General features: G+C 40.6%; 1 protein-coding gene across 7 annotated transcripts in view; it reads right to left on the bottom strand.

Moving 5' to 3' along the window:
* The window catches only part of C12orf56 (chromosome 12 open reading frame 56), a 125997-nt gene that overhangs the window by 13720 nt on the left and 85994 nt on the right, over window positions 1–26283 (bottom strand). For 5 of the 7 annotated variants that reach the window (NM_001099676.3, NM_001170633.2, XM_047428257.1 and 2 more), the window contains 3 exons: window positions 25154–25298; window positions 7473–7579; window positions 6183–6272 (listed from right to left, as the gene is read on the bottom strand). In NM_001099676.3, the coding sequence (NP_001093146.1) occupies window positions 6183–6272; window positions 7473–7579; window positions 25154–25298 (342 nt within the window). The other 2 variants (XM_047428256.1, XM_017018770.2) reach the window with 2 other exon arrangements.

Consider the following 26283-nt stretch of genomic DNA (forward strand, 5'->3'; position numbering starts at 1 on the left):
GTATATATTTATGGTATACAACATGATGTTTTGAAATATGTATATACTGTAGAATGTGTACATATTTTATAAATCAAGCGAATTGACGTATGCATCACCTCACATGCTTATTTTTATATAGTGAGAACACAAAATCTATTGTCAGCAATTTTCAAGTATACAGGACATTGCTATTAACTATGGTCACCATATTTGTATGATTGATCTCTGGAACTTCTTCCTCCTGTCTAACTGAAGTTTTGTACCCTTTGACCAACATCTCCCAATTCCACCCCGCCCCTAAGCCTCTGACAACCACCATTCTACACTCTCTGTTTTTATGAGTTTGGCTTTTTTAGATTCCATATATAAGTGAGATCATGCATGAACTCAAAAGTCAAACTCGTATTTGTCTTTCTGTGCCTGGCTTATTTCACTTAGCCTAATATCCTCCAGTTTCATCCATGTTGTCACAAATAACAAGACTTCATTTTTATGGCTGAATAATATTCCATTGTGTATATGTACCACATTTTCTTTATCCATTCACCCATTGCTGGACAGTAAGTTTGCTTCCTTTTCTTGGTTTCTGTTAATAATGTACAGCATTTCTTTTTTTTAAATATAAAAATTTTTAAACATAAAGATGGGGTCTTGCTTTGTTGCCCAGGCTGGACTTGAACCCCTGGCCTAAAGCAATCTGCCCACCTCAGCCTCTCAAAGTGCTTGGATGACAGGCATGAGCCTCCACACCCAACTCCACCATTTTGTAAAATGCTTATTTGATCCCAAAAAACCTCAGTTATTTTACTTTCCAATGTGGGGTACCGTCCATTGATAACTCACTTAAATGTTACATGTGCATCCTGATGAGCTGGGTTAATAACGCTATCTCCTCCTATTGGGTAGTATAACCCCTGTATGGTTGAAAAGCAGCTGAAGGCAGACTGCTAAAAACTCAGTTGCCTAATTGAAGACAATGTCAGAGTAGATTTGAGGGGTAGGAGTAGTAAAATAATTCAAAGATAGTACTATACAAAAGTTCTCCATAACCATAAGCATTCCTTTCATAATGGAAAAAAGGAGGGTGAGTATAAATACCCTTGTTTAGTAGGATCTGAGGCTTTCTAATCTTCTTAGAATCATTTAAATCATCACCATGATTAGAAGCTCATGATTAACCTACACTCTAGTAAAAATACAATGCTCTTCCTTTCTCCAAGTCAAAAAGCAAGTCTAGTTCTTATATTTGGAAAGAAGAATCATGTCAGTTAGTACATTTCTCACAAAAGCAGGATATACCCTACAGGGTATTTAATAATGTTTTATTCAGGCTATTTAAAATGGCCAATCTTACTTTGAGAAGACCCTTTTAAAATCAACAGAACACTCCCTTTAGAAGTGTTTCTTGATATTGTTTGAACTGGCATTCCATTCACTGTTATATTTAATTATAGTCCTTTATTTTCAGTAACAGCTTATTTTCAAAGTATCATACATCCAAAGCAAAGAAAAAGAACTCTCAAATTATGGGTCACTTGCTATGATAACATATGAATTCAACCCTAACAATACTAGGATATGAAAAAATATGGCACATTTCAAGAAAGTTACAGCAAAGTATGTTGAACTAATGAAATCTCCACTCATGAAAACAATAAAGAGGAAAATGCTGAAATGATTAACCGCTTTTTTATTTACCCAAATGGAATTTAATTTGAAATCCACCCCTTCTGCTAATTCAATTTAAAATCCACTAGGACAATAATAGATAGAAGAAATTTTAATCAAAATGGTAGTTTCATCCTGAAAATAGAGATAACTTAGAGGATTGACATCACAGCCTTAAAAACAGTCCCAACAGTTTAATACTTTATTGTTTAGGTTGTTATTATTTCTAATGTATGAATTTTGAATGTACTACAATATCTTTAAAAATACAGACTTTGAAGGCCACATCGATAGTCTCCTAAGTCAGTCCATGTTATTGTGGTGGGCAGAAATCTAACGTGGCTTCCAAAATTCCCAGCCTGCTGGTACAAACCCTATCAAATTCCTTCCCCTTAAGTATGGGCAATAGCTCTGAATATGTTTGTCTGTCACTCTTGTGATTATGTTACATGAAATGGGAAAGATGAAGGGATTCTGAGAATATAATAAAGGCCCTAATTGGCTGACTGTTGAGTTAATCAAAAGAAGATTATCCAGAGTAGGCTTGCTCTAATCAGGTGAGCCCCGAAAAAGAGATACTCTCCTGCAAAGAAACAAGCCACCTGAGTCCCACAGCTGTAAGGAAATTTAGTCTGCCAGCAATCACCCAAATGAGCTAGGAAGAGTCCCAAGCCTCAGATGAGACTATGGCCTGGCCAACACCTCAACTGAAACCTCGTGAGACCCTGGGCAAAGGATCCAGTTAAGCTGTGCCCAGATTTCTGATCCACTGACACTGTGAGATAAGAAATACATGTTGTTTTAAGCCACTAAGTTTGTGATAATTTGTTATATGGCAATAGAAAACTAATACAATTTTGGCTGGGCACGGTGGCTCATACTTGTAATCCCAGCACTTTGGGAGGCCGACGGGGGGTGGATCACCTGAGGACAGGAGTTCAAGACCAGCCTGACTAACATGGTGAAACCCCGTCTCTACTAAAAATACAAAATTAGCAGGGTGTGGTGGTGCATGCCTGTAATCCCAGCTATTCAGGAGGCTGAGGCACAAGAATTGCTTGAACCCAGGGGGCGGAGATTACAGTCAGCCAAGATCGCACCATTGCACTCCAGCCCTGGCGACAGAGCAAAACTCTGTCTCAAAAAAAGAAAAAAGAGCCCGGGTGCGGTGGCTCATGCCTATAATCCTAGCACTTTGGGAGGCCGAGGCGGGTGGATTGCCTGAGGTCAGGAGTTCGAGACCAGTCTGGCCAACATGGTGAAACCGTCTTAACTAAAAACATAAAAAAAATCAGCCGAGCGTGGTGGCACACACCTGTATCCCCAGCTACTTGAGAGGCTGAGGCAGGGGAATTGCTTGAACCATGGAGGTAGAGGTTGCAGTGAGCCGAGATCATGCCATTGCACTCCAGCCTGGGTGACAGAGTGAGACTCCATCTCAAAAAAAATAAAAGAAAAAAGAAAACGAATACAGTTTTATTAGATATTTACTGGGCTACGTAATACTATGGGGCACATGATTTGACCCTAGGGATATAAAAACTGGCTGAGAAAAGTTAATATTACAACCAGACTCTACTATAGCAATGTAATATATGTATTGAAGGACATGAAAAGAATTGGTAATATCAGGAAAGAGGCTTGATATAGGACGGCTGATGTGATCAAACCAAGTTAAAACAAAACAATTAAAGGCAACGCTTTTAAAGAAAAAGAACAAAGAAAACCCCATAAAAACAATACTTTACAACAGAGGTGACTAAGGATGATTTTTTTCAACTTGGAAACAGAAAGGTAGAGACCAAAAGGTGGAGAAAAAGGATAACCAGATTTAGTGATAATTTTAATGTGGGAGAAGACAGAAATATCAAAAATAATGTTGAATCTCCATCTTGGAGATTAGGGAAACGGCAGTACTACCAATCGCATAAAGAAGTATTCAAGCTGGGCGCAGTGGTTCATGCCAGTAATCTCAGCACTTTGGGAGGCCAAGGCGGGAAGATCACTTAAGTCCAGGAGTTTGAGACCAGCCCCGACAACAAAGTGAGACCTTGTCTCTACAAAAAAATAAAAAAATAAGAACTAGCTTGGCATGGTGTATTTTCTTGTTTGCTGTAAAGCAGAGCTCAGCAAACTATGGCCTGCAGGCCAAATCCAGCCTACAGCCTGTTTCTGTGAATAAAGTTTATCAGAACACAACTGTGTCCATTCGTTCATGTACTGCTTATGGCTGCTTTTGGGCTACAATGGCAGAACTGAGTAGACGCAGCACAGATTGTATGACGTGATAAGCCAAAACTATTTTCTATATGACCTTTTACAGAAATGTTTGCCCACTCCTGCTACACAACATAATATGCCGGCTTGGCACAGTGGCTCATGCCTGTAATCCTAGCACTTTGGGGGTAAGAGGGGGCAGATCACTTGAGCCCAGGAGTTTGAGACCAGCCTGGACAACATGGCAAAACCCCATCTCTATGAAAAATACAAAAAAATTAGCAGGGCATGATGGCATGTACCTGTGGTCCCAGCTACTGGGGAGGTGAGGATCACCTGAGCCCCAGGGAGGTCGAGGCTGCAGTGAGCTAAGATCGTGTCACTGCACTCCAGCCTGGATGAGAGTGAAACCCTATCTAAAAAAAAAAAAAGAAAAGAAAAAAAGCATAGTATGCCCATAGTCCCTGGCACATAGCAAGTGAGCAAGTGTACTTAAGAAATATTAATTAATGAGGCCGGGCGTGGTGGCTCACACCTGTAATCCCAGCACTTTGGGAGGCCGAAGCAGGCGGATCACCTGAGGTCGGGGTTTGAGACCAGCCTGACCAACATGGTGAAACGCCATCTCTACTAAAAATACAAAATTAACCGGGCATGGTGGTGCACGCCTGTAATCCCAGCTACTTGGGAGGCTGAGGCAGGAGAACCACTTGAACCTGGGAGGCAGAGATTGCCATGAGCCAAGATTGTGCCATTGCACTCCAGCCTGGACAACAAGAGTGAAGCGCTGTCTCAAAAAAAAAAGAAAAAAGAAAGAAAGAAAAATAAATATTAATTAATGAAATTAGGGCCAGTCATGGTGGCTCATGCCTGTAATCCCAGCTACTTGGGAGGCTGAGTCAGGAGAATCACTTGAACCCAGGAAGCAGAGGGTGCAGTGAGCTGAAATCGTGCCATTGCACCCCAGCCTGGGTGACAAGAGCAAAACTCTGTATCAAAAAAATAAAATAAAATAAAAAATCAAGCAGACAGTATGCAAAACTGCAAATCAAAATCAAAAGACAAAGAATGCTACTGTCCCCCCCTATACATTCTTCCATTCTTCCTTTTAATAACAGATGTCCCCATTACCATTCAAAACGAAGTTAGGCACATAGCTGTCCAACTACAGACACATTTCCAGCCTCTCCTGCAGCTAGGTGTGGCCATGTGCCTGAAGTTCTCACCAGGAGAATGTGAGCAGAAGTGTTACATGCCTTGCTTAAAAAGGAAGCTTGTTTGCCCTCTGCTTCTCTCTCTTTTTTTTTTTTTTCTTTTTTAACTGGAATGCCCTCTATTTCTCTTTCTGCTTCCCACAGGGTATAATGAAGTCATCAAGGTCAGCCAGCTTACACTATAAGGACAAAGACAACATGATAGCAGGCAACAGAGTAACAAAGGGGAAAAAACCTAGGTCCCTGGCTCACCTTGTGTTTGAAAGCCTGAATATTTACTCTGAACTGTTGTGTAAGAAAGATTTCAATTAAGATCTTCTTTGGGCCACATATTTTAGAGTATCTATTTTTTTTTTTTTTTTTGAGATGGGGTTGCCCAGGCTAGAGTGCAATGGTGTGATCTCAGCTCACTGCAACCTCCACCTCCCAGGTTCAAGCCATTCTCGTGCCTCAGCCTCCCGAGTAGCTGGGATTACAAGTGCGCACCACCATGCCTGGCTAATTTTTGTGTTTTTAGTAGAGACAGGGTTTCACCATGTTGGTCAGGCTGGTCACAAACTCCTGACCTCAGGTGATCCACCCGCCTTGGTTTCCCAAAGTGCTGGGATTACAGGCGTGAGCCACCGTGCCTGGCCTAGAGTGTCTTTATTACAGCAGCTCACCCTAGATATTAATAAACTCTCCAAAGTCATTTACTCTAAGGTCACACGATTATATTGTAAATGAGGCTACTATAACACCTGATTTTGCAGTTTTTCTGTTGTGTGGATATAAGGACACTATGGGAAATTCTGGCGGAGATCCCCCGGCTTTTAATGTATGATGGGTCATTTGGTCTTTTTCAAGTTCACCAGACTAGGACAAAAAAAAATTATGCTGAGAAAATCTTTGTACCCTTAATAATCCAGAGAGACAGAGAGAACTCGGCCTGTGCCAATTAACCTGTTCATCATGGAAGGAAGGAGAAAAACAAAAGAGTGAAATATACTTGGAAGGGTGTTGAACAGGGAAGTTGGAGAATTATGTGCTTTGGAAGACACTTAATAAGAATAGTTAATGGGTTGCAACTACAAGGTCCCAATGTCTTCTAAAAGACCTTACTTCTTAGCTGCCAATGTGTTCAGGCGTGATGACTCGGTTTCTGTTTCTCTGAACATCAATACTAGGGTCTGTATAATTTCAATGCATGCCCTAGAAAATAAACGATAAAAGGCAAAGAAATGGCATGATTTCATTAGAAGCTCAGAATTCCACAAAAGTAGTAATTTTTGCTAAAACTGCTTCCAGATATCCATACAGAAAAAAGTACAGGAAATAAATTTTGTACATCAAATTGCTAACATTGGTTAAGTGCCTACTCTGACTGCTACACAGTAAACACTCAAAAACATTTGCTGGTCGGGCGGGGTAGCTAACATATCACTCATGCTGTAATCCCAGCACTTTGGGAGGCCCAGGTGGGCGAATGGCCTGAGCCCAGGAGTTTGAGACCAGCCTGGGCAGCATGGCAAAACCCCATCTTTACAAAAGTTAGCTGAGTGTGGAGCTCAGGAGGTCAAGACTGCAGTGAGCCATGATCACACCAATGCACTCCCTCTGAGGGACAGAGTGAGAACTTTTCTAAAAAAAAAAAAAAGAAAAAAATTGTTGAATGAATGAATAGCTGGATGTCAGTACTAAATCATTTTATATGTATCTCTTTTCCAAAGTTTTTAGGATAATCAGACACTGCTTTAAAATTATTGTTTAAATTTTTAATATTTTCAGAGAGGTACTATTTGGCTCAAAATGTCAATGGTAAAAAAGAGAATACAGTGAAAGCTGTCTCTCCTCCAGATACCCATTTTTCCCACTTTGAGACAACAAATATTACTAGTTTCTTGTGCATCCTTCCATTAAAATTAGAACAAAATGAGTTCTATTTCTTAAAATCCACAGGAAGAGACCAGGCATGGTGGCTCATGTCTGTAATCCCAGCACTTTGGAAGGCTGAGATGGATGGATCACCTGAGGTCAGGAGTTCGAGACCAGCCTGGCCAATGTGGTGAAACCCCGTTTCTACTAAAAATACAAAAATTAGCCAGGCGTGGTGGCGTAAGCTTGTAATCCCAGTTGCTCCGGTAGCTGAAGCATGAGAATTGCTTGAACCCACGAGGCAGAAATTGCAGTGGGCAAAGATCGTGCCACTGCACTCCAGCCTGGGCAACAGAGCGAGACTCTGTCTCAAGAGAAAATAAATAAATAAATAAAAATAAAAATAAAATCCACAGGAAGAAAAACTTGCAGTGCCATTAATCATTAACCCAGCATATATTTTGTCCAGTGTCTTCCATTTATCTTTAACACCCTAGCAAAAAAAAAAAAATCGATGATTATCTAGTTAGTACTTACACCAGCTCATCAACCCTTTGGCTTTGATTTTGTAGTGCATTCTTATCCCTAGACTCCGGCAAGTACTCATGAAGTTTGTTTACTATGAAATAGAAAAGGTCACTGGTCTGTGAAAGCAAGTTGGAAAAAAAGACAGTAATTAAGGTATCTGTTGTTAAAATTCTCTACTCTCATGTACTAAAAATATGAAGAAATAATTTGTTCTTTGATTAGAGAAGTGAATTACAATATCTCCCACTGATACTAGCATAACCCAAATTGGAAACATACTTCTTACTTACACCCAAGAGACCACTGTGCTGGTGACCAGAGCAAGGGCTAGGGGGTGATGCTGGGAGATGCCAGTTAGGCCTGGCTTGACCATTAACCTTGAAGATCATCCAGAAGCAGGTGTGTAATCTCAGGCAACTCATCCAGTCACCTTGAAAAATGGGTCTCCTATAATTTCTGCCTTTCCAAAGTAATCTGGCCTTTGTGAGGATATAATGAATAATGAATAAGCAAGTTCTCGTTTTAAAATGTTTACTAACTCAAAAACAAATGTACAGCACTAGGCTAGCTTATGGAAATGGTGCAGAACAATATTGATTCTTCTGGTAATACAGTGGAAATGTAGATTGCCATTTCTGTCAAAATAAACACTGACTTAGAGCTGGGGAACCCATTTTTTAGTGTTCCTGTCCAGTCTCATGAGAAATCAAGCATGAAAATAAGCGCTGGCCCATGAAATTAGGCAAGTTGGCATTAATGAGAAATGTAATGTAATTGCTTTTCTTTTCTATTCCTCTATTGTTCGTTTTTTCCCCAGGATTTTGGTTTACTAGTGACAATTTAGGCTTTTTGTTTAGAAAGTGTATGCGTCCCCTTATTCAGGTGATATGGCATGAGAAGAGGCTGGGAATGCCAGCTGGGAATGCCAGAGAAAGGAAAAAGAGGAAGAGAAGCAGGATGTTTACCGGATACTCTCAGAAGTGCTTGGGATTTGAAAGAAGGAAGGACTTGGCCAGATGTGGTGGCTCATGCCTGTCAGCCCAGCACTTTGGGAGGCCGAGGTGGGCAGATCACTTGAGGTCAGGAGTTCGAAATCAGCCTGGCCAACGTGGCAAAACCCCGTCTCTACTAAAAATACAAAAATTAGCTGGGTTTGGTAGCATGCGCCTGTAATCCCTAATCCCAGCTACTTGGGAGGGTGAGGCAGGAGAATCACTTGAACCTGGGAGGTGGAGGTTGCAGTGAGCTGGGATTGCGCCACTGCACTCCAGACTGGGCAAGAGTGAGTGAGACTCCATCAAAAAAAAAAAAAAAAAAAAGAAGAAGAAGAAGAAGAAGAAGAAGAAGAAGTGCTTGGGTTTACCCAGTGCCTGATAAATTAGCATAGTGTGGCAGTTTTTTTTTGTTGTTTTTTTTATTATACTTTAAGTTTTAGGGTACATGTGCACATTGTGCAGGTTAGTTACATATGTATACATGTGCCATGCTGGTGCGCTGCACCCACTAACTCGTCATCTAGCATTAGGTATATCTCCCAATGCTATCCCTCCCCCCTCCCCCCACCCCACCACAGTCCCCAGAGTGTGATATTCCCCTTCCTGTGTCCATGTGATCTCATTGTTCAATTCCCACCTATGAGTGAGAATATGCCGTGTTTGGTTTTTTGTTCTTGTGATAGTTTACTGAGAATGATGATTTCCAATTTCATCCATGTCCCTACAAAGGACACAAACTCATCATTTTTTATGGCTGCATAGTATTCCATGGTGGATATGTGCCACATTTTCTTAATCCAGTCTGTCATTGTTGGACATTTGGGTTGGTTCCAAGTCTTTGCTATTGTGAATAATGCCGCAATAAACATACGTGTGCATGTGTCTTTATAGCAGCATGATTTATAGTCCTTTGGGTATATACCCAGTAATGGGATGGCTGGGTCAAATGGTATTTCCAGTTCTAGATCCCTGAGGAATCGCCACACTGACTTCCACAATGGTTGAACTAGTTTACAGTCCCACCAACAGTGTAAAAGTGTTCCTATTTCTCCACATCCTCTCCAGCACCTGTTGTTTCCTGACTTTTTAATGATTGCCATTCTAACTGGTGTGAGATGGTATCTCATTGTGGTTTTGATTTGCATTTCTCTGATGGCCAGTGATGATGAGCATTTTTTCATGTGTTTCTTGGCTGCATAAATGTCTTCTTTTGAGAAGTGTCTGTTCATGTCCTTCGCCCACTTTTTGATGGGGTTGTTTGTTTTTTTCTTGTAAATTTGTTGGAGTTCATTGTAGATTCTGGATATTAGCCCTTTGTCAGATGAGTAGGTTGCGAAAATTTTCTCCCATTTTGTAGGTTGCCTGTTCACTCTGATGGTAGTTTCTTTTGCTGTGCAGAAGCTCTTTAGTTTAATTAGATCCCATTTGTCAATTTTGGCTTTTGTTGCCATTGCTTTTGGTGTTTTGGACATGAAGTCCTTGCCCATGCCTATGTCCTGAATGGTAATGCCTAGGTTTTCTTCTAGGGTTTTTATGGTTTTAGGTCTAACGTTTAAATCTTTAATCCATCTTGAATTGATTTTTGTATAAGGTGTAAGGAAGGGATCCAGTTTCAGCTTTCTACATATGGCTAGCCAGTTTTCCCAGCACCATTTATTAAATAGGGAATCCTTTCCCCATTGCTTGTTTTTCTCAGGTTTGTCAAAGATCAGATAGTTGTAGATATGCAGCATTATTTCTGAGGGCTCTGTTCTGTTCCATTGATCTATATCTCTGTTTTGGTACCAGTACCATGCTGTTTTGGTTACTGTAGCCTTGTAGTATAGTTTGAAGTCAGGTAGTGTGATGCCTCCAGCTTTGTTCTTTTGGTTTAGGATTGACTTGGCGATGCAGGCTCTTTTTTGGTTCCATATGAACTTTAAAGTAGTTTTTTCCAATTCTGTGAGGAAAGTCATTGGTAGCTTTATGGGGATGGCATTGAATCTGTAAATTACCTTGGGCAGTATGGCCATTTTCACGATATTGATTCTTCCTACCCATGAGCATGGAATGTTCTTCCATTTGTTTGTATCCTCTTTTATTTCCTTGAGCAGTGGTTTGTAGTTCTCCTTGAAGAGGTCCTTCACATCCCTTGTAAGTTGGATTCCTAGGTATTTTATTCTCTTTGCAGCAATTGTGAATGGGAGTTCACTCATGATTTGGCTCTCTGTTTGTCTGTTGTTGGTGTATAAGAATGCTTGTGATTTTTGTACATTGATTTTGTATCCTGAGACTTTGCTGAAGTTGCTTATCAGCTTAAGGAGATTTTGGGCTGAAACAATGGGGTTTTCTAGATATACAATCATGTCGTCTGCAAACAGGGACAATTTGACTTCCTCTTTTCCTAATTGAATACCTTTATTTCCTTCTCCTGCCTAATTGCCCTGGCCAGAACTTCCAACACTATGTTGAATAGGAGTGGTGAGAGAGGGCATCCCTGTCTTGTGCCAGTTTTCAAAGGGAATGCTTCCAGTTTTTGCCCATTCAGTATGATATTGGCTGTGGGTTTGTCATAGATAGCTCTTATTATTTTGAAATACGTCCCATCAATACCTAATTTATTGAGAGTTTTTAGCATGAAGGGTTGTTGAATTTTGTCAAAGGCTTTTTCTGCATCTATTGAGATAATCATGTGGTTTTTGTCTTTGCCTCTGTTTATATGCTGGATTACATTTATTGATTTGCGTATATTGAACCAGCCTTGCATCCCAGGGATGAAGCCCACTTGATCATGGTGGATAAGCTTTTTGATGTGCTGCTGGATTCGTTTTGCCAGTATTTTATTGAGGATTTTTGCATCAATGTTCATCAAGGATAGTGGTCTAAAATTCTCTTTTTTGGTTGTGTCTCTGCCCAGCTTTGGTATCAGAATGATGCTGGCCTCATAAAATGAGTTAGGGAGGATTCCCTCTTTTTCTATTGATTGGAATAGTTTCAGAAGGAATGGTACCAGTTCCTCCTTGTACCTCTGGTAGAATTCAGCTGTGAATCCATCTGGTCCTGGACTCTTTTTGGTTGGTAAACTATCGATTATTGCCACAATTTCAGCTCCTGTTATTGGTCCATTCAGAGATTCAACTTCTTCCTGGTTTAGTCTTGGGAGAGTGTATGTGTTGAGGAATTTATCCATTTCTTCTAGATTTTCTAGTTTATTTGCGTAGAGGTGTTTGTAGTATTCTCTGATGGTAGTTTGTATTTCTGTGGGATCGGTGGTGATATCCCCTTTATCATTTTTTATTGTGTCTATTTGATTCTTCTCTCTTTTTTTCTTTATTAGTCTTGCTAGTGGTCTATCAATTTTGTTGATCCTTTCAAAAAACCAGCTCCTGGATTCATTGATTTTTTGAAGGGTTTTTTGTGTCTCTATTTCCTTCAGTTCTGCTCTGATTTTAGTTATTTCTTGCCTTCTGCTAGCTTTTGAATGTGTTTGCTCTTGCTTTTCTAGTTCTTTTAATTGTGATGTTAGGGTGTCAATTTTGGATCTTTCCTGCTTTCTCTTGTGGGCATTTAGTGCTATAAATTTCCCTCTACACACTGCTTTGAATGTGTCCCAGAGATTCTGGTATGTTGTGTCTTTGTTCTCGTTGGTTTCAAAGAACATCTTTATTTCTGCCTTCATTTCGTTATGTACCCAGTAGTCATTCAGGAGCAGGTTGTTCAGTTTCCATGTAGTTGAGCGGCTTTGAGTGAGATTCTTAATCCTGAGTTCTAGTTTGATTGCACTGTGGTCTGAGAGATAGTTTGTTATAATTTCTGTTCTTTTACATTTGCTGAGGAGAGCTTTACTTCCAACTATGTGGTCAATTTTGGAATAGGTGTGGTGTGGTGCTGAAAAAAATGTATATTCTGTTGATTTGGGTTGGAGAGTTCTGTAGATGTCTATTAGGTCCGCTTGGTGCAGAGCTGAGTTCAATTCCTGGGTATCCTTGTTGACTTTCTGTCTCGTTGATCTGTCTAATGTTGACAGTGGGGTGTTAAAGTCTCCCATTATTAATGCGTGGGAGTCTAAGTCTCTTTGTAGGTCACTCAGGACTTGCTTTATGAATCTGGGTGCTCCTGTATTGGGTGCATATATATTTAGGATAGTTAGCTCTTCTTGTTGAATTGATCCCTTTACCATTATGTAATGGCCTTCTTTGTCTCTTTTGATCTTTGTTGGTTTAAAGTCTGTTTTATCAGAGACTAGGATTGCAACCCCTGCCTTTTTTTGTTTTCCATTTGCTTGGTAGATCTTCCTCCATCCTTTTATTTTGAGCCTATGTGTGTCTCTGCACGTGAGATGGGTTTCCTGAATACAGCACACTGATGGGTCTTGACTCTTTATCCAATTTGCCAGTCTGTGTCTTTTAATTGGAGAATTTAGTCCATTTACATTTAAAGTTAATATTGTTATGTGTGCATTTGATCCTGTCATTATGATGTTAGCTGGTGATTTTGCTCGTTAGTTGATGCAGTTTCTTCCTAGTCTCGATGGTCTTTACATTTTGGCATGATTTTGCAGCGGCTGGTACCGGTTGTTCCTTTCCATGTTTAGCGCTTCCTTCAGGAGCTCTTTTAGGGCAGGCCTAGTGGTGACAAAATCTCTCAGCATTTGCTTGTCTGTGAAGTATTTTATTTCTCCTTCACTTATGAAGCTTAGTTTGGCTGGATATGAAATTCTGGGTTGAAAATTCTTTTCTTTAAGAATGTTGAATATTGGCCCCCACTCTCTTCTGGCTTGTAGGGTTTCTGCCGAGAGATCCGCTGTTAGTCTGATGGGCTTCCCTTTGAGGGTAACCCGACCTTTCTCTCTGGCTGCCCTTAACATTTTTTCCTTCATTTCAACTTTGGTGAATCTGACAATTATGTGTCTTGGAGTTGCTCTTCTCGAGGAGTATCTTTGTGGCGTTCTCTGTATTTCCTGAATCTGAACGTTGGCCTGCCTTGCTAGATTGGGGAAGTTCTCCTGGATAATATCCTGCAGAGTGTTTTCCAACTTGGTTCCATTCTCCCCATCACTTTCAGGTACACCAATCAGACGTAGATTTGGTCTTTTCACATAGTCCCATATTTCTTGGAGGCTTTGCTCATTTCTTTTTATTCTTTTTTCTCTAACCTTCCCTTCTCACTTCATTTCATTCATTTCATCTTCCATTGCTGATACCCTTTCTTCCAGTTGATTGCATCGGCTCCTGAGGCTTCTGCATTCTTCACGTAGTTCTCGAGCCTTGGTTTTCAGCTCCATCAGCTCCTTTAAGCACTTCTCTGTATTGGTTATTCTAGTTATACATTCTTCTAAATTTTTTTCAAAGTTTTCAACTTCTTTGCCTTTGGTTTGAATGTCCTCCCATAGCTCAGAGTAATTTGATCGTCTGAAGCCTTCTTCTCTCAGCTCGTCAAAGTCATTCTCCACCCAGCTTTGTTCCGTTGCTGGTGAGGAACTGCGTTCCTTTGGAGGAGGAGAGGCGCTCTGCATTTTAGAGTTTCCAGTTTTTCTGTTCTGTTTTTTCCCCATCTTTGTGGTTTTATCTACTTTTGGTCTTTGATGATGGTGATGTACAGATGGGTTTTTGGTGTGGATGTCCTTTCTGTTTGTTAGTTTTCCTTCTAACAGACAGGACCCTCAGCTGCAGGTCTGTTGGAATACCCTGCCGTGTGAGGTGTCAGTCTGCCCCTGCTGGGGGGTGCCTCCCAGTTAGGCTGCTCGGGGGTCAGGGGTCAGGGACCCACTTGAGGAGGCAGTCTGCCCGTTCTCAGATCTCCAGCTGCATGCTGGGAGAACCACTGCTCTCTTCAAAGCTGTCAGACAGGGACACTTAAGTCTGCAGAGGTTACTGCTGTCTTTTTGTTTGTCTGTGCCCTGCCCCCAGAGGTGGAGCCTACAGAGGCAGGCAGGCCTCCTTGAGCTGTGGTGGGCTCCACCCAGTTGGAGCTTCCCGGCTGCTTTGTTTACCTAAGCAAGCCTGGGCAATGGCGGGCGCCCCTCCCCCAGCCTCGCTGCCGCCTTGCAGTTTGATCTCAGACTGCTGTGCTAGCAATCAGCGAGACTCCGTGGGCGTAGGACCCTCCGAGCCAGGTGTGGGATATAATCTCATGGTTCGCCGCTTTTTAAGCCGGTCTGAAAAGCGCAGTATTCGGGTGGGAGTGACCCGATTTTCCAGGTGCGTCCGTCACCCCTTTCTTTGACTCGGAAAGGGAACTCCCTGACCCCTCGCGCTTCCCAAGTGAGGCAATCCCTCGCCCTGCTTCTGCTCGCGCACGGTGCGCGCACCCACTGGCCTGCGCCCACTGTCTGGCACTCCCTAGTGAGAGAAACCCGGTACCTCAGATGGAAATGCAGAAATCACCCGTCTTCTGCGTCGCTCACGCTGGGAGCTGTAGACCGGAGCTGTTCCTATTTGGCCATCTTGGCTCCTCCCCTGTGGCAGTTTTACAAACTGACCCTGGAGTTATATTCTTTGAGCTCAAATCCCAGCTCTACCACTGGGCAGTTGTGTGACATTTGGCAAATTACTTATACTCCCTGTCGCTCAGTTTCTTTGTCTTTCAAATGGGTTAATAATATCACCTCATGGGGTTGATTTAAACGTAAGTTTAAATAAGATAGTATGTATTTATAAAGCTTCAACAGTGCTTAGCACATAACACATAGCACATAACAAGTGTCTAATAAGTATCACTGTTATTATGACCTCCCATCTGCTCACTGATTCATGAATTTTCACTTATAAAATATCATGCATCTACCTGAAACAACATGGAAGAATCTCAAAAATATTATGCCAAAAGAAGCCAAATGCAAAAGAGTACTTAGTGCAGAATTCCATGTAAGTGCAGTGCTAAGAGAGGCAAAATGAATCTACAGTGACAGAAAGCACATCGATAGTTGCACAAGGCCAGGAGTGTGAGAGAACTGGTGGCCAAAGGGCACAAGGTGACATTCTGGAGTGACAGAGACGCTCTAAATCTTGATTGAAGTAGTGTTAATAGTTACATGAATAGAGACATTTGTCAAGACTCTTCAAACTGTATCTTTAAATATGGGTGCATTTTATTTCATGTAAATTATACTGCAATAATTTCTTCAAAGAAGATAGATGAATGGCCAATAAGCACATGAAAAATGCTCAACATCACTAATCACTAGGGAAATGCAACTCAAAAGTACAATGAGATATTATCCCACACCCATTAGGATAGCTACTATTAAAAAAAAAACACAAAATAGCAAGTGTTGGCAAGGACATAGAGGAATCGAAACCCTTATATACTGTTGGTGGAAGTAGAAAATAGCACAGACACTGGAAACCAGTATGGTGGTTCCTCAAAACTTTAAATATAGAATTACCATCTAATCTAGCAATTCCATTTCTGAGTATATACCCAAAAGAATTGAAAGCACCGTCTTAAAGAGATATCTTGCATACCAATGTTCATAGCTGCATTACTCACAACATCTAAAACATGGAAGCAACCCATTGACAGATGAATAGATAAGGAAAATGTGGTATATACATACAATGGAATATTATCCAGCCTTAAAAAAAAGGAAATTGTGATACATGCTACAACATGGATTAAACTTGAGAACATTATGCTAGGTGAAATCTCAGTCACAAAAAGACAAGTACTATATCATTCCAACTATATGAGGTATTTAGAATAGTCAAAATCAGAGACAGAAAGTAGAATGGTGGTTTCCAGGGGCTGTGGGTTGCAGGGGTGGGATGGGGGAAAGAAATGGAAAGTTGTTGCTTAATGGGTAGAGAGTTTCAGTTTTGTAAGATGAAAAGTGTTCTGGAGATGATGGTTTTGATGGCTGATTGTGAATAAACTTGATACCACTGAAATGTATGCTTAAAAATGATTAAGGAAGTAAATTTTGTGTTATGTATATTTTGCCACAATTTTTAAAAATGAAAAAAAAATCATATGAAGAAAAAAAAATTTTTTTTTTTTTTGAGATGGAGTCTTGCTCTGTCGCCCAGGCTGGAGTGCAGTGGCATGATCTTGGCTCACTGCAACCTCCACATCCTGGTTTCAAGCGATTTCCTGTCTGGGATTACAGGTGCATGCCACCACGCCTGGCTAATTTTTGTATTTTTAGTAAAGATGGGGTTTCACCATGCTGGCCAGGCTGGTCTTGAACTCCTGACCTCAGGTGAGCCACTCGCCTTGGCCTCCCAATGTGCTGGGATTATAGGCATGAGCCACCGTGCCAGTGGAAAAAATTTAAACTAGAAAAAGAACATAGAGAACTATTTTATCTACTCATTTATTCATTCACTGAATGCATACTTATTGATTGCCAGCTATGTGGCAGGTATGCTAGATAATGAGATAACATGTTGAGCGAAACAGACAGACATGTGTCTGTTCTTCTAAAACTTGGAGTTTAGTCAATCTATGAAAAAGTGTTCTCAGCCTGTGTAATCTCACAGCTGTAATTCCAGCACTTTGGGAGGCTGAGGCAGGCAGATCACTTGAGTCCAAGACCAGCCTGGGCAACATGGTGAAACCCCTTTCCTACAAAAAAAACAAAAATTAGCCCAGCATGGTAGCATTTGCCTGTAGTCTCAGCTACTTGGGAAGTACTCAGCTACTTGGGAAGTACTCAGCTACTCAGCTATTTGAGCCCAGGAGGCGGAGATTGCAGTGAGCGGAGATGGTGCCACTGCACTTCAGCGTAGGTGACAGAGTGAGACTCCATCTCAAAAAAAAAAAGAAAACCTATTCTCATAATTTAAATTTTACCTTCAAGAAAATTAAAAAATAAAGACCACTTAAAAGAAAAAAGTATGCCTCAATAAAGTTCATTTTAAAAGGGAGGGAGAAAACTATATATAATATATATTTTTATATCTATAATATATATCACTCTATATTATAGCGTATCTGTAATTTTTATATCCATAATATGTACATTATATATGTGTATAATTTTCCATCCTATTACAGGAACCAAAAATTAGAGATGCCTGTGATGGTTAATTTTAGGTGTAAACTTGGCTAAATTAGGAGTACCTAGAGAACTGGTAAAGCATTATTTCTGTTATGTCTGTGAAGGTATTTCCAGAGGAGACTGGCATGTGAGTTGGAGAACTGAGTGGTTCTGTCTCTCTGGAGAATTCTAATACAGATTTTGGTACCAGAAGTGGAATTGTTGCTATAAGGAATACCTAAAAATGTGGAAGTGACTTTGGAATTGGTTAACGGATAGAGGCTCGAAGAATTTGGAGGAGCAACCTAGAAAAAGCCTAGATTGCAATAATTGGAGGATTAAAGGTGATGCTGGTGGGGGCTCAGAGAAAGAGGACAGCTGTAGGGAAAGTCTGAAACTTCTTAGACATTTCTTAAGTGAAAGAGTGAAAGATTATTCTCCAGCTTTAAGACACTGTTATTTTCCCTGTTGGGTTTTGGACTTACTTGGCCCTTTCCTCTTGCTTATATCTTCCTTTTGGAATGGGAATGTCTATCCTCCACACATCCCATCACTGTATTTTGTAAGTAGATAACCTGTCTTGATTTACAGGCTGACAACTGGAGAGGAATTTGCCTCAGGATGAATCCTGCCTTGAGTGTCACCCATACCTGATTTAGATGACAATTGGTAATTTGGACTTATGAGTTGATGCTGGAATGAATTAAGATTTTTGGAGCTATTGGGATGGAATAAATGTATTTTGTATGTAAAAAAGACATGAATTTTTGGGGCCAAGAGCAGAATGCTGTAGTCTGAATGTGTCCCCCAAAGTTCATGTTTTAGAAACTAATCCCCAATGCAACAGTGTTGAGAGGCGAGACCTTTAAGAGGTTGATTGGGTCATGAGGCTCCTGACCTCATAAATGGATTAATGTCATTATTGTGGGAGTGGGTTTCTGATAAAAAGATGAGTTTGGCCCCCTTCCACCCTTTTTTTTTTTTTTGCATGCTCTTTTGCCCTCTGCCTTCTCATGGGATGACACAACAAGAAGACCCTCACAAGATGCCAGCACCTTGATACTGGACTTCCCTGCCTCCAGAGCTGTCAGAAGTACATTCATATTCTTATAAATTACCAAGTTTGTGATACTCTGTTATAGCAACACAAAACAGACTAAGACAATGGCCCTAATCTCTCCACCCCAGTATGGGTTTCTAAGGGAGCTTCACAGAACGTATGTTTTCCAAGAAATATAGCATAAAGTTGAAAAACCACTGCTTTAGCTTAAGGCTATGATAACAATTTAAATAAAAAAATCTTAAAGGATGTTGACTTTTATTAGTCATATATGCTAATTTTGTGAAAATAAATCTGAGGATAGATTTTGGCTGTGGATTAGACAGAAGAACATAAGGCTACTGGGTTTGATAGCATGGTTGGGGATAGGGCCAAGGGGGACTCCACTGAAGTGTAGAGAGACCACAAATAGAGAGACTACCCATTTACTTTTTTTTCTTTTTTTTATTATACTTTAATTTCTGGGGTACATGTGCAGAATGTGCAGTTTTGTTATACACATGCCATGGTGGTTTGCTGCACCCATCAACCCGTCAGCCACATTAGGTATTTCTTTTAATGCTATCCCTCCCCTATTCCCCCGTCCGCCGACAGGCCCCAATGTGTGATGTTCCCCTCCCTGTGTCCATGTGTTCTCATTGTTCAACTCCCACTTATGAATGAGAACATGCAGAACATGTTTGGTTTTCTGTTCTTGTGTTAGTTTGCTGAGAATGATGGTTTCCAGCTTCATCCATGTCCCTGCAAAGGACATGAACTCATCTTTTTATGGCTGCATAGTATTCCATGGTGTATATGTGCCACATTTTCTTAATCCAGTCTATCACTGATGGACATTTGGGTTGGTTCCAAGTCTTTGCTATTGTGAATAGTGCTGCAATAAACATACATGTGCATGTGTCTTTATAGCAACGTGATTTATAATCCTTTGGGTATATACCCACTAATGGGATTGCTGAGTTAAATGGTATTTCTAGTTCTAGGTCCTTGTGGAATCGCCACACTGCCTTCCACAATGGTTGAACTAATTTACACTCCCACCAACAGTGTAAAAGCATTCCTATTTCTCCACATCCTCTCCAGCATCTGTTGTTTCCTGACTTTTTAATGATCACCATTCTAACTGGCATGAGATGGTATCTCATTGTGGTTTTGATTTGCATTTCTCTAATGACCAGTGATGATGAGCTTTTTTTCATGTTTGTTGGCTGCATAAATGTCTTCTTTTGAGAAGTGTCTGTTCATATCCTTTGCCCACTTTTTGATGGGGTTGTTTTTTGCTTGTAAATTTGTTTACGTCCTTTGTAGATTCTGGATATTAGCCCTTTGTCAGATGGATAGATTGCAAAAATTTTCTCTCGTTCTGTAGGTTGTCTGTTCACTCTGATGATAGTTTCTTTTGCTGTGCAGAAGCTCTTTAGTTTAATTAGATCCCATTTGTCAATTTTGGCTTTTGTTGCCATTGCTTTTGATGTTTTAGATATGAAGTCTTTGCCCATGCCTGTGTCCTGAATGGTATTGCCTAGGTTTTCTTCTAGGACTTTTATGGTTTTAGGTCTTATGTTTAAGTCTTTAATCCACCTTGAGTTAATTTTTGTATAAGGTGTAAGGAAGGGGTCCAGTTTCAGTTTTCTGCATATGGCTAGCCAGTTTTCCCAGCACCATTTATTAAATAGGGAATCCTTTCCCCATTGCTTGTTTGTGTCAGGTTTGTCAAAGATCAGATGGTTGTAGATGTGTGGTGTTATTTCTGAGGGCTCTGTTCTGTTCCATTGGTCTATATGTCTGTTTTGGTACCAGTACCATGCTCTTTTGGTTACTGTAGCCTTGTAGTATAGTTTGAAGTCAGGTAGTGTGATGCCTCCAGCTTTGTTCTTTATGCTTAGGATTGTCTTGGCTATGCGGGCTCTTTTTTGGTTCCATATGAACTTTAAAGCAGTTCTTTCCAATTCTGTGGAGAAAGTCAATAGGTAGCTTGATGGGGATAGCATTGAATCTATAAATTACTTTGGGCAGTTATGGCCATTTTCACGATATTGATTCTTCCTATCCATGAGCATGAAATGTTTTTCCATTTGTTTGTGTCCTCCCTTATTTCCTTGAGCAGTGGTTTGTAGTTCTCCTTGAAGAGGTCCTTCACATTCCTTGTAAGTTGTATTCCTAGGTATTTTATTCTCTTAGTAGCAATTGTGAATGGGAGTTCACTCATGATTTGGCTCTCTGTTTGTCTGTTATTGGTGTATAGGAATGCTTGTGATTTTTGTGCATTGATTTCGTATCCTGAGACTTTGCTGAAGTTGCTTTGATAAGCTTAAGGAGATTTGGGCTGAGACGGTGAGGTTTTCTAAATATACAATCATGTCATCTGTGAACAGAGACAATTTGACTTCCCCTTTTCCTATCTGAATTATTTCCTTCTCCATTCACTTTGGCCTTTCATTTTTGATAACTGAATTAGAAGATTTGTTTTAGCCCAGGTAAGAATATTATATTAAATAATGGCTGCAGTGTTTTCAAGTATAAAACAGATCATGAAAGCTTCATTTTTAGACATTGGATTAGGTTAATATTTCACAAGAGAACAGATTTGCAATTCAGTATGAATAACTTACAGCACCTGGAATATGCATGCATTGTGTTTTGGCCTGAGGGAGAATACAAAGATAAGTAAGACATATACTTGTCCTAAAGAAGCTTTTAGCATATTAAGATAAATAAGAAAAATGTGCCAATCACTATAGTAAAAGGGAGGATATCTGTGCTAATTCTCGATGGTAGAAACTGTATCATAATCATGCTATATTTCTAATACCTATCACCAAGCCTCACACAGATTAGGCATGAAAACTGTCTGTTAATTGTTAAAGAGGAAGTGCTATGAAAGATGTCATAGAACTACATTGTTCAACTCGGTAGCTACTGCCCACAAGTGTCTATTTAAATTAATGTAAATTTAATAAAATTAACGTTTTACTTTTTTAGTCACTAGTCACATTCAAGTGCTTAATAGCCACATGTGGCTAGTGTCTGCTGTATTGAACAATGCAGATTATAAAACTTCAAAGAAAGTTCTATGGCATGGAATTGACAGAGAAGATCAAAAGGAGGAAGGTACTAAAGTTCCCCATTAGGCATGACAGGAAAGGCAGAAAATGGCATTTGAGCTGAGCCTTGATGAATGGGTATGATTTTTAACAAGAGAAATTAGAAGAAGAGTATTCTAGAGAAAGCAAGCAGCAGGGAGAAAGGAGAGCTAAGGAGAACAAGTATCCAAGTTATCCTACATGGCTCGATCTTGTAGAGGACAGAGGTGAGAGAGAAGATGAAGTGGCGGGTCAGGTCTGTGAATCCTAACCTTACTCTCTTTCTCTCCATTCTTTTTTTGTTCCACAGCCTAGGCCACAGGTATCAGGCCTGTTTTTAAACTGAAGATGCTTAAATGACCTCCAGACTAACACTGGTGCTGATCCCATTAGGAATACACATCAACATCCTTCTTAATCTAACCCTTAAGTGGTACTTCAGTTCTCCTACCTAGACATGCACTTTAAATCCAGTCCCTGATTGTGTCCAGTGTATCTGGGTGGACTTCCCCTTTGAGCACTGTCCTAAGTCCTTTCCCAGTCCTCTCCTAACTGCTGGCTTTACTCTTGACAATCTTTATGTCCTCACATTCCATAAAACCCTGTTCCCACACCCTAAACAAGCAGATCTTCCTGGTGCCAAATGTTTGTGCAGACATCCAGTTGTAATTCACCCACATGCTAAAATATCCTGATATTTCATTTTGCTCACTCTTATGTAGAGATCACTCTCACCTTTGGGCACTGTGCCTTTTCCATGAGCATCTACATCTGGATTCATTTTCCCAGTGCCCACCTTATCCAGATGGTAGCCTGATATGTTCTGGTTCTGTGTTCCCACCCAAATCTCATCTTGAATTGTAATCCCCACTGTCGAGGGAGGGTCCTGGTGGGAGGTGATTGGATCATGCATGCTGTTTTCACGATGGTGAGGGAGTCCTCATGAGATCTGATGGTTTAAAAGTGGCAGTTTCCCCTGCACATTCTCTCTCTCTCTCCTGTTGCCATGTAAGACATGCCTTGCTTCCCCTTCGCCTTCTGTCATGATTGTAAGTTTCCTGAGGCCTCCCAGCCATGTGGAACTGTAAGTCTGTGGCAGGCCAGGTCTTCATAACAGCTGAACAGACAGGCCTCCATAACAACTGTTCCGGTACTGACTGAGTGGTTATGTTAAATATTAAAAGCTGATAGAGCCAGTGTCCTTTCACAAAGGCTGGGATGTAACAAAAACCCACCAAGAGTTTTGCCTAGGCCTTTCCTGGGCCTTGAAGCATGACAAGATAATGAAGGAATTCTTAACAGGACCTGTTTAGAATTAAACAAGTTTTACTGGGGGTCTGAAGAAACTCCTCAGGCCGCCACAAACAAGTTTATTGGCAGTCTGAAGGAACTCCCCAAACCTCCGTGATTTAGCAGGAGGCAAGATAAGGGTAATCACCCCAGGACCTGGACCCATTTAGATTGAGTAAATTTACTGAGGCCCCAGAAGAAGGTTTTCAGGACCTTCCTTAGGTCCTGATCTAATCTTAGTTATAGATTAAAAGAAGTTAATCACTTACGTCTTTAGATGAATGCATTTACATGTAGACATATAGCTTAGAAGGTATATAAGCTCTGGAAAACTTTGTAATTTTGAATTGGTCTGGCGATAATTTCCAGGCCTTTCCCTTCTTTCCCAGTTCATCTGTATCTCGTTATTGGGCCAAAGAATAAGCAGCCCGACCCTTGGTTTGGTCCAGGAACAAGTCAACTAAACCTTCTTTCTTTATAAATTACCCAGTCTCAGGTAGCATTTTTACAGCAGTGTGAGAATGGACTAATACACAGCCCTTTCCTGATAACCCCAGCCTACTAAAATAAAGGCCATACCTGTCCAAATTTGAAGTCTGTGATTAGTGGAGAGCCTTAAATGTTGAAGCCAAAGTCTTTACTAGCAAGGAAAGTCACAAGAAACTTTTGAACAAGCAATCCCATACAATCAGGGTTGTAGATTAAATTGATACTGTGTGTGGGGTGGACTGGAGAGGTTTATTTGGGAAGAAGATAATCCTAATTTATTTACCCTTTCCACATGAATTCCATTTCATCTTCATAATCAACTTGGTTGGTCATATTTTCCACAATCTTCTGAAGTTCTAGAGTCAAAACTTGGATGGTGTATTCCTCACAGGATCCATCCAGTACCAACCATTTTAGACTACGCAGCACTACATCATCCTTACCTGAGTCTCAATGTCTCAATGTTGTGGGACATTTGGCATATTATTCTCTACAGCTAATCTGCCTTCACCGTACTGATTTGCTTGGAACTGTTCTAGCTTTCCAATGTTGCAGGAATTTCCTTAGTCCCAGGAAAACTGGAATAGTTGGTCACCCTAATCTGGGCAAACCAAAATGGTCACCCTACATATCAAGGACCTAGAAGCTAATAAATAGCCAGGACTGTCTTGTATGGTTGGGAGTTCACATGCTTTACAATTGCTCAGTAAAATGATGGCAGCTACTTATGTGACCAATGCCAGAATTAGGATAAAATATATAGCAATCAACATGAACACAGCCCTAGACAGGGCTCTCTCATGGAGGCCTCATTAGCACCACCATTAGCACCACACCAGGTCACTCCCCTGGGCTTCTTAACACTTTCACCTGAACATGAAAATGAGGTGTCTGTAATTTACTGAGTGAGAATGAGGTTGCCTTGCCTCCCCAGGACTCACATTTTTAAAAATACCAGTCTTATACTCAAAAATACTTTTTTGAATTATATTCTTACAGTAGGGGAAACTGCACAATAAAACATCTTGAAATCAGCCATGTACAGTGGCTCATGCCCGTAATCACAGCACTTTAGGAAGCCAAGGCAGGAGGATCACTTGAGCCCAGGAGTTTGAGACCAGACTGGGCAACAGAGTGAGACCCTGTGTCTATTTAAAAAATAAACAAACAGGCAGGGCGCGGTGGTTCACACCTGTAACTCCAGCATTTTGGGAGGCCAAGACGGGTGGATCACCTGAGGTCAGGAGTTCAAGACCAACCTGGCCGACATGGTGAAACCCCATCTCTACTAAGAACACAAAAAATTAGCTGGGCGTGGTAGTGGGCGCCTGTAATCCCAGCTACTTGGGAGGCTGAGGTAAGAGAATGGCTTATACCTGGGAGGCAGAGGTTGCAGTGAGCTGAGATCGTGCCATTGCACTCCAGCTTGGGCGACAAGAGCAAGACTGTCTCAAAAAAATAAAAAATAAACAAAAACTTCTTAAAATCTACTTTCCCATCTCACTGTCTATATATCTTGTATGCCAAAAATGTTCCTCCTAACATCTCTCCGTTGGCTCTGCCAACCCAATGCATGGCAGCTACTTTTTGCTACCACTCCCCTCTCTTCCCATCTCCCCTCCACACACACATATACATTACTGATTGCATCACAAAGTATCCACCATTAAGACATGACTACATTAAATTTTATCAACATTTAAAAATACAGCATCAGAATACAAGACAACTCTTATTTATATTTTAATGTATGTTTGTATTTGGTAAACAGGAAACACAAACTTTAAAGATTAAAAATAAAACAAAACACTTACCTTCCAGAAAAGCCTTTTCAGAATGAAGTTTTTCTGGGCTGCTACTTTAAGTTCCATAAGTAAAGAAAGTATCCTCCTCAAAGAATTGTCTTTAAGAAAAAGTTCAGATTTAAGTTGACTGAAGTGCTTAATTTTCTCCTCAGACCTACAGAAACAGAAGAAAATTTTCCACTTAAAAAAATGGTAAGACATAGCAGTTTAGGAATATCAATGATTACTGTCAGGTTTGTTAAACTTTGTTACTAATGGGATTTTAATATAGTTTTATTCTCCTAGCCTTAATACTCACCAGTAGTGAAACTTGCTCCCCACAAATTGAACTGTTTATTACGCTCCAAACATACTTTTTTGCCCGTGCCCCTTAACTCAAGCTGTTCCTATACCAGGAATACTCTCACTGTCCCTGGTAAATTTCTGTCCCTCTTTCATTTACCATAATCCATGAGCCTTTATGTAATATTTTTCTTTCAATCAACTAGCTTTTTTTTTTAAGAAGTTTATAAAGAAAATGTTGTGTCACTTTCCAGGGAAAACCAGTATCACTTGGTGTAAATGGCATGAAAGCAACATAAATTCTAAGTAAATGCTGCATTTTCTGAGCCTGTAGCTGGCTTCTCTGTGAGGAAAGGGCAGATGAGCATGTGTTCAAGAACTATCACTAGTGGCCCCAAGCTGAGAGGTTCTCCCTGATGAGATCAGCCTAGCTGGAAAAAGGAATCACATATTTCCACCATGGAATTCAAAGTTGTTTCATGCCATGTCAGAGTACCACCTGGAATCATCTCCCATTACTGAACCACGTGTCTTCCACACCTAAGGAAAAGCTGGCTTAGCAGAAAAACCTCCTCAGATCTTTCCCTAATTCCACCAACAAATGCAGCCCCTCTCCCACTGCAGTTTTTTCACACTCCTAGTATCACATTAATCCCATTTCACTCATTGTAGTTAGTTACTCGTGTACCTATCCTATCCCCTCAGCTGACTTTTAGCAACTTGGAAAAAATGTCACCGGGTTAAATATTGTTTCCCCCTCCCACTGTGCTCAGTAATAACAACTTGCGCTTTACTGGGCGCTGACGAGGTGGCCGGCTCTGGCCTGAGTGCTTTCCGTAGACTCGTTCTTGGACTGA

Source organism: Homo sapiens, chromosome 12, assembly GCF_000001405.40.
Source record: "Homo sapiens chromosome 12, GRCh38.p14 Primary Assembly".
NCBI classification, from domain to species: Eukaryota; Metazoa; Chordata; class Mammalia; order Primates; family Hominidae; genus Homo; species Homo sapiens.